This window comes from Homo sapiens, chromosome 16 (genome assembly GCF_000001405.40).
Source record: "Homo sapiens chromosome 16, GRCh38.p14 Primary Assembly".
NCBI lineage: Eukaryota > Metazoa > Chordata > Mammalia > Primates > Hominidae > Homo > Homo sapiens.
The window spans coordinates 78,424,795-78,438,309 of record NC_000016.10 but is presented as its reverse complement, the minus strand read 5'-3'; the positions used below and the strand labels follow the sequence as shown (position 1 = coordinate 78,438,309).

The following is a 13,515-nucleotide window of genomic DNA, read 5'->3' as shown; positions in this document are numbered from 1 at the left end:
GTTTACAAGGCTGGTATATCATTTTCTTGAACACGCTGCATGAGGTTTCTGTGCTTTTCAATTACAAAATAAAGATAATAATTCTAAGATTGTAGAACTTGGAATTATTAATTCTAACAGAAATTATGAGAAATTAATGAAAATATATGCTGATACATAAAGCATCGTGGTATCTGGGAAAATGGTCAATCTGCATCTCTATTTGGAAGTGTGGTAGGATTCTAAAGTCATCACACATGGTTACAACTGCAAAAACCCAAGATTAGCCTTGAAAATCCCTTATGTGCACCAGATACAACACCTGGTTTTGTGAATTAAAACCCATAGACTAATATGTATATATAAATATAGATACTAAAATACAATACATTTTTTCACCAACTCGAAAGTTCTTACCAAACAATACACATTAATGCGTGCAGGTGCAAAACATTTTAGAGTAATTTAACTGCATAAAAGAATGCTCTAGAGTCAAGAAAATAAACATGTAATGCACGTATGATGTGACTTCATTATTAGAAAGTACTCAGCAAATGTTAGTTTCCTTTAACATATTTTAGAAGCAGCTATTTGAAGTATATTGCATCTTTTTTAGAACGACACTTAAAAATAACTCACTTTCCAAGTTTATCTGTGATTTTTATTTCACCATAAATTGAAGGGAGGAAGAAACAAACACTTCCCTCCCAGGACGCCCCAATACACTTGTCCAGTTCTCTGGATCTGAAGAAGAAGAGGGAGGCAGAGACATGGCTTTACCAGTAGGGGCCGCTGTGCTGAGAATTGATTCCTGTGAGTTTCTCATTAGTGATTATTATATTGCAGGCAGCCAAAATGGAAAAATTAATTAATTTCAAAGTGATAATGCATTTACAGCAACAATTAGAAATGTGTAACTGTAAAAGGGCAACATTTAAAAGACAGATCACATTTAATAAAGTTGCACAAGAACATCCAATTGTAAAATTACTGATCTGCAACAATATTCCTTAAAGAGGCACTTAAAATAGCCCGACTCCATGAAGAGTGACCTAATTACTGTAACTAAAATCACCGTAGTCACAGCAAGTCACAGCAAATAAAAAAGGGACGTTGATATTAGAATACTGCTGTTTAATACTTAAGGGAGCCAGCTACAGAGAAGAAATGAAGGCAGGGCTTCCGAGCGCAAGTCTGGGTTGTATTTCTTGCTCCCCTGACCTCATGCAACAGAATGTGTACTCCAGCAATACCCGTGTCAGAAGGAAGCACCCTCTCTAAGGTAAAAGGCAGACAAGGCAGAGCACACTAGCCATCTGGTGATAGGGACATTGCATCTATGCTAAGCTTCTCAATCACAATTAGAAACCCAGCCTTTACCTACGGAAGAAATGGGATGCAACTGCGTGGCTTATATCCAAAAATATGTCTGCATTCAAATAGCAGAAATGCACCCTTTGTCCAAGAAACTGATGCATTATCCTGACGGAAGCAATGCCGAGCCACATACGCAGGATAGCCCAAGAGGGTGACTTTTCCAGTCAGTCTGGTCTATCTTACTAGGAAAATGACCAACCCGAGGTCTACATTCACAGTGATTCCTCTCCTAAATACAGAGTCCTAAATGTTTATGAAAGAAAAGTGAATGCCTGTGAATTTGACAAGCAAGCTCAGAGCGCCAATTCCACCTCTGCATGAAGTGACGTATTACTTTCAATGGCAAAAACCTCAATAACTTCTGTATCAACCTAATATAGAGAACGCTGATGGCTAAAAAAGTACTACCAAACGCTTAAATATATAAATACACTAGAGAGGATTTTAGTAAGACTCTTAGCTACATATTCCACAGTCTTCGTCATCTTCATGCTTATCTAAAGTCCATTTGTGACATATAAAAGCTGCTATTTTCTAATCACTCAAGGTCAGAAACAAGAAAAGTCCACACCCTACGGCTTCCTCACAAATGAGACGTGCAGGTTGGAGATCACTGAACCAGGGTCCCTTCACCTGGACGCCCTTTCTACCTGGCCAGTAAACCTCTCCCTGAGTCTTTGGGGCCAGGGACAAAGCCCTTCTCTTCCCTTTCCAGACTCCCAATTTGCAGACTCTTGTTCTGTCAGCAGAGATTACATTTTGGAGAATCATCATCGGGACCAAGGCACTGCTCACAACGACAAGAGTAACAGCCATCGTGGCAGGAAGTACTGCATACCTCCCATGCGAAAGGCACTGAGCTAGGCATGTCATTTGACCACGCTCTCCAGTATGGCAGCCACTTGGCACACGTGGTGTTTTTCAGTTCGAATTAACAAACATGGAATCAAATTGAAAATTCACTTCCTCAGTTCTATTAGCCACATTTTTAGAACTCAATAGCCACATGTGGCCCACGACTACCATACTGGAGAGCCAGATTATAATAACTGCAGAAATTCTATATCCATCATTATTGATGTTATATGCATTATTGTCGGTCCTTACACTAACCTGTATCACAATTTTCATCGTAATGAGACAGGCTCAGAAAGCTGGTGACATGTCTAAGTTGTTCCAGTGGTCAAGGGTAAGAGCTGAGCTTAGCCATCAGCACCATTAGCAGGAGAGCTGTGAGGTCCACTGTCCCAGGTTGCCACTTTCTTGTCTTGCCACCACCAGGAAGTCATGTCAAATCCCATCTCAACTACAAGGGAAATGCTCACGTCCAGTGCCCTTTCTATGAGTGCCCCTCCACAGACAACTTCAACAAAACCTGGGATTTTTGCGATGTCACCACTTTTCTCCAAACCCTCTCATGAGCTACACACTCATTTTCCCACAGCTTTCTCACTCAGGGATCTAAAGCTCAGTGCGCAGTTAATCTTTTACCCAAGGCTGCTCCCAGAGGACATTTGTTTCTCCCAAGCCTTGCCTTGCTATAGGCATTGAGGCCTGTTCACAAGTAGTCTCTGAGCTCTCCTGCCAGGGAAATAGGAGAGACTGCAGTAGGGTGCGGCAGAGGCTGCTGCACACTGGTGGGGTAGGCAAAGGAGTTAGGCATGGAGGTTGGGCATCTGCTATTACTAAGACACACTACAGGTACGGTGCTCACTGAGTTGCAACCTTCGTCCAATTCATTGTGCATCCTCCCCGACATGGTAGTCCCTCTGCCTCCATTTCTAACCCCATACTCTGGTTTTCCACTCAGCCCAAGTCCTGAGCACACGTACTCCCAAAACAGCTAACACTCCGATATCATGATACAGTCACCGATCCAACTTAATTTGCTGGTATTTTTTAGAGATACTCCCGTTAGGTCCAACCAGCCAACTTTCAAGTCTGACTTTATTAAGCATATTATATTAAATATTAGATAATAATCAACTCTTCTCCAATAAATAAAAATGTTTACCCTGACTTTATATTTTAGCAGAACTTGCCTTCCTTCTTTTCCCACATGCCCTGGCACAGAGTCCCTAAGCAATGGGATCAGGCCACAGAATAACAGTTTCCACTATTTTCTATCAATGACTCCTCATCCATTCGAGTCTACAACAAATGGCAGGATGGTTATATCACCCCTCACCAAATTCCATAGTCACAGACTCATCTCTAAAGCTTTCCCATCCCGTTCCTCTGATTAGGGACCTTATGGAAGAAGGAGAAAACGAACTCTCTGATGCCACTGAACCGAGCTCCTTAAAACACATCAATGATCAAATACAAGTGAGATGACTCAAGACCCAAAGATTACAAATGATGGTTGACTGGGCTTGTTAAAGCGGAAGGCACTGGGCCAGCAGAAAATAAGGAAGAATCCACCTCTCTCCTCTCCCCATTCCTAAATGCCTCATTTAAATGGCACTGGCACCCAGTTCAGATCCATATTCCTTCTTTTCATGTAAACTGAAGGACACAACAAAGTATGAGGCATAACCATGGTCAAAGAAACTTTCATGAAGAGGCTGCGCTTATGCAGTCATCGGGAGCAAAGTGATGGGGAGATTTCAAAACCCTGTGATCCACCTACAGGTAAGTTTCATTCATTTACTTCCTAGAGATCAATCCCACCCTGCGGCATGGAACACCATTCTCCGTAGGTCCTTTCACTTCACTGCCACTGATCCTAAGTATTCGACTCTTGGAATATGTCTGTTTACTCTGCCTAAAAACCACTTGGGTGATTAGAATAAAAGATATACTTACTTACCTCCTCCTAAGCACTTCAAAAGACTTTTGATGTGGTTTTAAAAGTCATCCCCAGGCCGGGCGCGGTGGCTCACGCCTGTAATCCCAGCACTTTGGGAGGCCGAGGCGGGCGGATCACGAGGTCAGGAGATTGAGACCATCCCGGCTAAAACGGTGAAACCCCGTCTCTACTAAAAATACAAAAAATTAGCCGGGCATAGTGGTGGGCGCCTGTAGTCCCAGCTACTTGGGAGGCTGAGGCAGGAGAATGGCGTGAACCCGGGAGGCGGAGCTTGCAGTGAGCCGAGATCCCGCCACTGCACTCCAGCCTGGGCGACAGAGCGAGACTCCGTCTCAAAAAAAAAAAAAAAAAAAAAAAAAAAAAAGTCATCCCCAAATACGAAGGTTAAGGGTGGCAGGTGGGAATGAGTGTAAGAGAAGGCAGCAGACAGTTTCCAAGGTCGTGAGATCAGCTGGAGGATAATAGGCCTGCAATAGTTCTTCTTTTGTTGTTGTTTTGCTTTGTTTTATTAATATCCTAGGTCCAACTGTGAAGGCCTGTGATATCGCTAAAAGGCAAATGTGTTTGGGAAAAGGGTGATTTCTGTCAAGTAGATTTTAAGTTTGGGTAACTGGAATACTGGTGTCCACTAATAGGAAGACATTTTTGAAGTCCTTTGGTTTTGAAAAATAATCTACCAAATATATTGTGGAAAATACGCTTTCTTCATTCAAAATACTTCCTACTAAAACCATTTCATAGAAGAAGGTTCTTAATATGGTCGATAAATGAACACCAAACTATAAAAACATCTTATCACCTTTGTAAACACTTCCAAATGTAACCACAGTACCATGATTCATCCAAAATTGTCTTTGGGAAAGTAAAGAAGAAAACACACTCCTAGCTATCAAAGGACTCTCCAACAGAGGATTATACCCATTAGAAGAAAAAAATTTAGAACAAAAGATACAGTTTTTCTGTGAAACAAAGGAATCACATCTGCTGAAAATTCAGTAGTCACCAATGTTTGTTGTTTACCTACTGACACAAAACAGCAGTTTTCAAGTGCTCCATTCAACAAAATAGATTTTCAAAGTTTCTGAATAAAAAACCCCAAAAAAAACAAAACCAAACAAACAAAAAAATCACCATTTCCATAAGGACTTTCAGCCATACTTAACATGATACTGAAACCCACATCTTCTACCCAGCCCTCCAAGACGCATTTACCCAAACAGACTTAACCTAAAGTTGATGAAAATGTGTTCAAGAGCCCTTTATGATGGGCTGGACAATGTTATTACTGAGACCAGACTCATGCCCGCAAGAGGTAAAAAGGTGGAGACACAAGTGTGCAGGTTTCTCTAGGACCCAAGGTGTTTGCGGCGCCAGAAGCTGTTCTCTTACCATGGACTTGGTGAAAGGCCTCGCCAAGGTAAACAGCAGTGTGTACACCCACCAGCTGCGATGAATGTTGGAGTACATCATATTTCCAGGATGCACTGCGTTCGACGTGACCCCGCGTGGGGAGAGGCGACGGTGCAGCTCGTTGGAGAAGAGGATGTTGCAGAGCTTGGACCTGTTATAAGCCAGCATCGCCCAATAGTCGTTTTTTGTTGGAGAGAGGCGACTGAAGTCCAGTTTTCCCAAGGAGTCGTTAATATCTGTAAATCTTAAAAATAGGAAATATGACATGAAGCAACCAAGTTCTGACTTCCCACACAGCTTTTTATTTTTATTGGAAATCTAAGGAATGCTGGGTGCAGTGGCTCACATCTGTAATCCGAGCACTTTGGGAGTCTTAGACGAGTGGATCACCTGAGGTCGGGAGTTCAAGACCAGCCTGGCCAACATGGCAAAATGCCATCTCTACTAAAAATACAAAAATTAGCCAGGTGTGGTGGCATGCCTGTACACGGGAATCTGAAGCAAGAGAATCACTGAAACATGGGAGGCAGAGGTTGCAGTGAGCAAAGATTGTGCCACTGCACTCCAGCCTGGGTGACAGAGCTAGACTCGGTCTCAAAAAAAAAAAAAAGCAATCTGAGGAAACTATGTAGAGATGAGTAAAAACTCAATCTTACATACATCAAAACAAAGTCTCCTTTCAAGATTGACAATGGTGATTTAACAATATAAACACAGGTCATGTCTGGTGGCTCATGCCTCTAATCCCAGCACTTTAGGAAGCTGAGGCGGGAGGATTGCTTGAGTGTAGGAGTTCAAGACCAGCTTAGGCAACATAGGGAGACACCATGTCTACAAAAAATAAACAATTAGTTGAGTATTTTGGCACATGCCTGTGGTCCCAGCTACTTGGGGGGCTGAGGCAGGAGGATCGCTTCAGCCTGGGAGGTCAACGTTGCAGTGAGCTATGATTGTGCCACTGAACTCTAGCCTGGGCAACAGAGTGAGACCCCCATATCTAAAAGTAAGAATTTAAAATTTAAAAATTAAAAAAAAAAAAAGGATTGGCTACAAAGAGAGACTTCAATAAAGACCCACACTCATAAATGTAGCAGTCCTGACATACTGAACTCTCTCCCCACCCTCTAACATATATTTTTCAAAACCTTCAACAGGAAGTTCAAAGATAATTAAATTAAACAGAAAAGTGTCTTGAATAAAGGGCTGCTGCTTTTGGAAACAGAAAGATATCACATTCCTAACCTTTGACAGGGCTTTCCTGGATTATTTTAGCTAATGCTTGAGTCCTGTATATTTTCATTTGAGCATCCAAGAAATTATAGATGAGTCTTGTTGTCTCCAAGACTCTTTTCTAGATTAAAAATTAATGATTATAAAGGGGTTATAACCTTGGTGAGGTACCATCAATAGTCTTATACGTTTAAAAGAAAAATGTAAACAAAGCCAAGATGAGTTCTGGCAAAATCTAATGTTTTTAAGTATACCCATGGCATGGATGTACACAAATCAACGTAACTAGTTGATGCTTTATAATTGGGTCTGACGGAGTCGTTAAACACCAGCTGTTTGTTTCTTTCCGTTTGTCTCTTTCTCTTAAATAACAACATTATAGTGACTTCCCTTACAAAATGGATCACAGCAAACAAAAGGAATTTTCTAAACAGTCTCATGTTTGTCAAAGGACCCCTCATATTCTGCTTCTATAAGTTCATTCTGGGCACCGGGTAATGAAGAAGCATAATGGGAATCCTCTAGATAACTGCTATGGAAAACAAAAAGCAAAAGGTAAAATGAAAATTATGGAATTATCCTATTATTCCTTAATATCAGCAGCTCAGGTTGGGCTAAGACCAAGAAAAGCATGGCAAGGGCAGAATGAAATTCATGTTTTAATGGAAATTAAATATCCCTTCCACAGGACTCGGTGACATCCAATTTCTAGTGTTAAATGACATAGCTGCTCTAAAGTCATCAACAAAGCTGATGGCCAGAAACGTCATCAAGGATACAGAAATGAGACCTTGAAACGAATTGTTGGCTGCCTTTTTTCTAGTACCCAAACCACAGGAAGAGTCTGACTTCCAAGCTTAATTGTCTAAGGCAATGGAACTCAGCAGGCAATTTGAAAATATATGACGGCCTTCTTCTGGTTGTCGTGATGACTGCTGGTGATGGTAGCAGGGATGGCAGATGTCTTGCAATGCACATGATGTATTGCTCAATGAAGAATGCCCCAGTGGACACTCATGGAGATGAAAAGCCTGTGGATAATTATCTGAGCCTAGAAACATCCACTGAATTTCCAGGTGGGTAGTGCAACAACTATTTACATGTAGAATGAATAAAAGCACTTTCAGATTTTGTGTGATTTTTGGAGGGTGACTGATACGGTTCGGCTGTGTCCCCACCCAAATCTCACACTGAATTGTAATAACCCCCATGTGTCAAGGGCAGAGCCAGGTGGAGATAAGTGAATCATGGGGGTGCTTTCTCCCATACTGTTCTCATGGTAGTGAATAAGTCTCACGAAATCTGATGGTTTTATAAATGAGAATTCCCCTGCACATACTCTGTTGCCTGATGTCATGTAAGACATCCCTTTGCCCTTCCTTCATCTTCCGCCATGATTGTGAGGCCTCCCCAGCCATGTGTAACTGTGAGCCCATTAAACCTGTTTCCTTTATAAATTACCCGGTCTCGGGTATGTCTTTCTTAGCAGCATGAGAACAGACTAATATAGTCAGGCTTCACTCAAGGTTGGTGGTGCTGGAGTCTGCAATACCACACACCTGGTAATGGTGGGCTTTTTTATGAGAGTCCATTCAAGGTGATTCATCCACGGATACATACATCCCCATCTTTCCTGTAGCCTGGCCCAAGCATTTACATGTTGAAACACACGCCATTTTGTTTCAGTTATTTTTTCTTTCATTACAGTAAAGCTATCATATCGAATTGAAAATATATTTGTGCATGTAAGTTATGTTATTTGCTAACTTTATTTCAACATAATAAGGTATTACAGAAGAGGTGTCACACAAAGGTGCTACTGAGTTGAGAATCCAATGATCCAAGGTATGGGACATGACTTGAAAACTCTACCTACATGGCATAGACAACAGGGACAAGGATTTAGAGAGTATCTGAAAGGTATGGAATAAATATAGCACCACCCCCTCCCTCTCTCTACTCATCTTTTGTCAACTGCTTCCAGAAACCCTTCTTGGCATATTTGTTTAGCCCAACCCAGTTCAGGGACTACTTCTTCCAGGAAGCTCTCCATAATGAACTCTTCCACAGCTGGATATCATGGTGATTTTTTGGGTGGAAGTCAGGGAGAGAATGAAAGAAGCCATGCAAGGCAGATAAAAATGCATGCCTCCATGGACATTAAGTATCCACTCTTCAGGACCCAGGCCATGACACCATTCCTAGTGTTCACTGACATTACTGGCCTTCCAAGATTGGTGAAAAGGCTCACTGTGCCATCCTTCTGTTCTATCTGTACATTGCTCCTCTGTCATCACCATACCAGACTGTAAGTCAATTGATCACCTGATTCCAAAACTAGACTGTGAATTCTTGGAAAGTAGACTGTAAGATTCTTGAGTGTTGCTTACTACAGTGCCTGACACATAGTAAGGACTCAATACAGAATTAGATGATTACAGTTTGGTCATGGGTTTGGAATTCCAATCCAAGGACCAAGTCCTTAATAAAAAAAACAAAGGAACACAAATCCCATGATGAGAATTTGACAGTTTCCCTTGTTTCAAGCATTGCTCTAAAGGTAAAATTTACCACTAGGTTCAACTCTTCTATGTTTTCCATTAATGTTTACATGTGGAATTTCCTCATGTTTAGGGCTTTTGGTTTCTGCTTATTCTTTTAGAGACAAGGTCTTGCTTTGTTGCCCATGCTAATCTCAACTCCTGAGCTCAAGGGATCCTCCTGCCTCAGCTTCCTGAGTAGCTGGTATTACAGGTATACACTATCATCATACACAGTGATTTTCTACTGTTAAGAATAAGGTCCCTGTTTCAGTATTTAAGGATAACACAGAAGTATGTCATGACTAGGGAACACTAAGTGAATTAAATGTCTAAGAGGAGAAAGTCATTTCTTCTTGATCCCTAATCTAGAAACAAGTCAAAAGAATCCCATGATGACAAATTAGACAAAACCAGGAAGGACAGTTTCAAGATGGAGAAGTACCAGCTGCTACGTATCAGGCACTCTCTCTGCAAAGAGCCCTTCCCTGTAAGGGTGACCCCTGATTTCCTTCCTCACTGTCTCCTGGGCAGATAGTCCACTTTTACAGTCTCATTAGCTAGCACTGACAGTCCTCCAGGAAGTGGCAAGGGTGGGCCAGCTTCTTATCTGTCTGAGCCAGAAACGGCTTCCTGAAAAACGACTATGTTCACCTCTCAGCTCCAGAGGTAGTAAAACAACTCTTTAGATGCTGCTGACTCTATTTTCAAGTTGACAAACTGACAAAGCCAAACAATTATGTCTTAATAGAATTTTCCCTTACTAGTACATTAAAATATTGACATTTGCTCTGTGGACAGTAACACTTGCTTTGTAGGGGGACCCCCGCCCCTCACAAATCTTGTATTTCTATATATACTGTGGGGGTTTTGCTTTTTGGGTTTTTGTTTTCTGAAACAGGGTCTTGCTCTGTCACCCAGGCTGGAGTGCACTGGTGCAATCTCCACTCACTGCAATCTCCACCTCCCAAGTTCAAGCAATTCTCCTGCCTCAGCCTCCCAAATAGCTGGGATTACAGGCGTGCACCACCACACCTGGCTAATTTTTGTATTTTTAGTAGAGATGGGGTTTCGCCATGCTGGCTAGGCTGATCTCGAACTCTTGAGTGCTGGGATTACAGGCGTGAGACACTGTGCCTGGCCTATACTGCATTTTTTTTAAACAATTTTTAATTTTTATTTTAGAGATGGGGTCTCACTCTGTCACCCAGGCTGGAATGCAGTGGCATGATCAACGCTTACCGCAACCTCAAACTCCTGGGCTCAAGCCATCCTCCCACCTCAGCCTCTTACTAGATAGGATTACAGGCATGTGCTACCAAGCCCAATTTTATTGAGGATTTTTAAAATTCCCGCCTAAAATAATTAGGCTGGATTCTGTCTACACAGAAGCTGAGAAACTCCGTGTGTGTGTGTGTGCGTGCGTGCGTGTATGTGTGATTTTGTGTGTGGGGTGGGGGAGGGCAATTTGGCACTCCATGCAGCTGCAGCCATTGAGGGTTGTTCAACCAGCACTCTGCTCTTTTCATTCTACTTTAATTGTTATCTGAAATTTTTTCACAGCAAAGAAGTCAACTTCTCATTTCACTATGATGTATTTTAGGTATGCAGAAACTCAATTCAGTTGCTCAGATTCCAGATAAGTAACTAAAACACAGTGAAGACACAGGAAGGCTAATAAATATTTTGCCTTGGAGCAGTCTAGTATAATATTTTCTGCAAACATAGGACTTTCTTTTTTCCCCTAACAGGGGGTCTTAACTCCAACGAAGAGATTCTGCCAAGGTTGATGGAGGTAATTAGATATCAGCACTTGCATTTTACAGCATGGTTTAGGGCCCTGAGTTCTTGGGTAGTGAGCAACTGTCTTCACGTACCACCTACGCACCAAGTCACCACGCTCACTCATGGGAGCCAAGGGATGCAATGCGAAGGTAATACACAAGCCAGCCTGGGGAAATTGCCATTTTGTTAAAACACCCTTAAATAATGTGCAAAGAGGCCGGGCGTGGTGGCTCACGCCTGTAATCACAGCACTGTGAGAAGCCAAGGCAGGCGGATCACAAGGTCAAGAGATCGAGACCATCCTGGCCAACATGGTGAAACCCCGTCTCTACTAAAAATACAAAAATTAGCCAGGTGTGGTGGCAAGCGCCTGTGGTCCCAGCTACTTGGAAGGCTGAGGCAGGAGAATCGCTTAACCCTGGGAGTCTGAAGTTGTGGTGAGCCGAGATCATGCCACTGCACTGCAGCCTGGTAACAGATCAAGACTCCATGTCAAATAATAATAACAGTAATAATAAATAACGATGTGCAAAGAATAATTGGAAAGCATAAAACCAGTGCCAGCCATCACACAGGAGCAAGCCTGACAACACATTTCAGGAAGGCCTCCCTATAAACTAACATAGGTCTAATTCAAGAGCCCAAGTCCCTTCCTTTCAAACTAATCTTTTAAATGATGCTGAGATTTGGATCTCTGAAGTAGGCATGAATTACACCGTAGTTAAGCAAAGAACAAAGACGTCACACGAAATACCATTTGAGATACAGATTTACAAGGAGAGTGAGCAGCTGACAATTCGACATAATCTCCCATTAAATACCAGCTCATTTAAACATATCCCGTGGTGCCCTCCACATCTGGTGGATGACTGGGGCTGGCAGATTTATTTCTGGAGCTCTCTCTGCTGCCTGCCCCCACAGTAGCCTCCCTCGCCCCTTAACAGGGCCACTCCACTTTCCTTCACAAACCTGGTGTGATTTGCAAAGATAAGGCTGTCCAGATTTTGTTACCACCTAATTACTAGATGTTTCATGTCTTTTAACACGGGGGAGGATTATTACTGGCATTTACCTTTCATTTCAGCCATCATAAATTTAAAATGGCAAAAGTAAATCTATCTGCAGTGTGTCACTTATACCATAAGCCCCTGTGTTTGGGAGTGATAAAGGGTTCAAGCTAACCCTTGGCTGGTCTCTCTCTTCCAAGTCCCAGGGGTTACATTTTATGGAAGTATGATTAAAAAAATAAGCTTCATTCTGGGTCACTAAAACATTTCAGGACTTAAGACGGAGAAGAAGGAGGAAAAAATAGGCCCCTTGCACGTTATTTTTTTTTCTAGCTACTTTGCTAAGAGTGTAAGTTCCCCCCGCCAAACACACACCAAGCAAACGTGAAAGAGAAATCTCCCTAACATGTATTAAATCCAGCCTCACCCAGCAAGGCCTTTGTCTTTTCAGAGTACTTCTCTCTAGACAAATAGTTGTTTCTCCAACTCTAGAAACAAATATGCTGAAAATACGAGGAAATTTTCAAATGTCCTTTTCAGTCAATTGAATATTCTCCTAATGGCAATAGGAAAAAAGTGCCATCTGATGTTTTAATTGAAATTTTAACCAAAAGAGGCACGGCCAGATTTCTAATATGCTCTAACTACAGTTCTTCCCTTTCCACAATTACACAGCTAATGTCTGCCTCGAATTCCCTAATTTCTCATTATAAAACAATTTGATTTCATCTCGCAGGCTCTAATTGCATTGTTTCTCCTGCTAGAATAACTGCACATTCTTCTTGGTAAGATGTTGAAGTTGTTGAATTACAAATCAATAAAGGTCATGCCATTCAGATTTCATCAATTATTATTCCATCTCTAAGCAAAATCAATGAGGAGCTTGAAGTATAGTCGTAAAAACAATCTTCCTTGCTCTAGAAAGTCCTTCTAAACAGTCCCCCACAATCACAGGCGAACAAAAAAGACCTGGAAAAATTAAGTGAGCCAAGCTGAGTCCACCCACATGTCTCAAGCAGGACTAATGAAAATTATTTTCAGAATGAGAGCCTTGGGGGAATATTAGCTGGTATGAGAAAGGGGATAAGTGAACAAATATGCAATTCAAACCCACCGATGGGACTCTGAGGAGACCACAATGACACGGGCAGGAGCTGAGCGGCACAAAACATCCTGGAGGAGCTGGACAAGGTAGAAGTGCCCCAGATGATTCACTTGAAAGGTGGTCTCCAGGCCATCTTTGGTGAGACTCCAGGGTAGAGCAAAAGTTGCTGCGTTGCACACAAGCACATGAAGAGGCCTGAAAAATAAAATATCCCATGTGATGTGGACATAAACACTACAACCAAGGATAATCCATGCTCCTTCGGGAATC

At 42.0% G+C, this 13,515-nt stretch overlaps 1 protein-coding gene across 2 annotated transcripts in view, besides 2 other annotated features; it reads right to left on the bottom strand.

The window, feature by feature from the left end:
• Positions 1 to 13,515, bottom strand: part of WWOX (WW domain containing oxidoreductase) — a 1,113,014-nt gene that overhangs the window by 774,358 nt on the left and 325,141 nt on the right. For both annotated transcript variants that reach the window (NM_016373.4, NM_001291997.2), the window contains 2 exons: positions 13,255 to 13,440; positions 5,558 to 5,822 (listed from right to left, as the gene is read on the bottom strand). In NM_016373.4, the coding sequence (NP_057457.1) occupies positions 5,558 to 5,822; positions 13,255 to 13,440 (451 nt within the window). The remainder of the gene's footprint in view (positions 1 to 5,557; positions 5,823 to 13,254; positions 13,441 to 13,515) is intronic.
• Positions 9,764 to 10,058: an enhancer, noted in NCBI's record as "tiled region #4302; K562 Activating DNase matched - State 5:Enh". NCBI's record gives its function as "activates a minimal TATA promoter and a strong SV40 promoter by Sharpr-MPRA in K562 cells {active_cell/tissue: K562}" and the evidence as "EXISTENCE:reporter gene assay evidence [ECO:0000049][PMID:27701403]".
• Positions 10,746 to 10,915: an enhancer, noted in NCBI's record as "experimental_46257 CRE fragment used in MPRA reporter constructs". NCBI's record gives its function as "activates a minimal promoter by MPRAs in K562 erythroleukemia cells, with activity observed for both the introgressed and non-introgressed 16:78461377 variant alleles {active_cell/tissue: K562}" and the evidence as "EXISTENCE:reporter gene assay evidence [ECO:0000049][PMID:34662402]".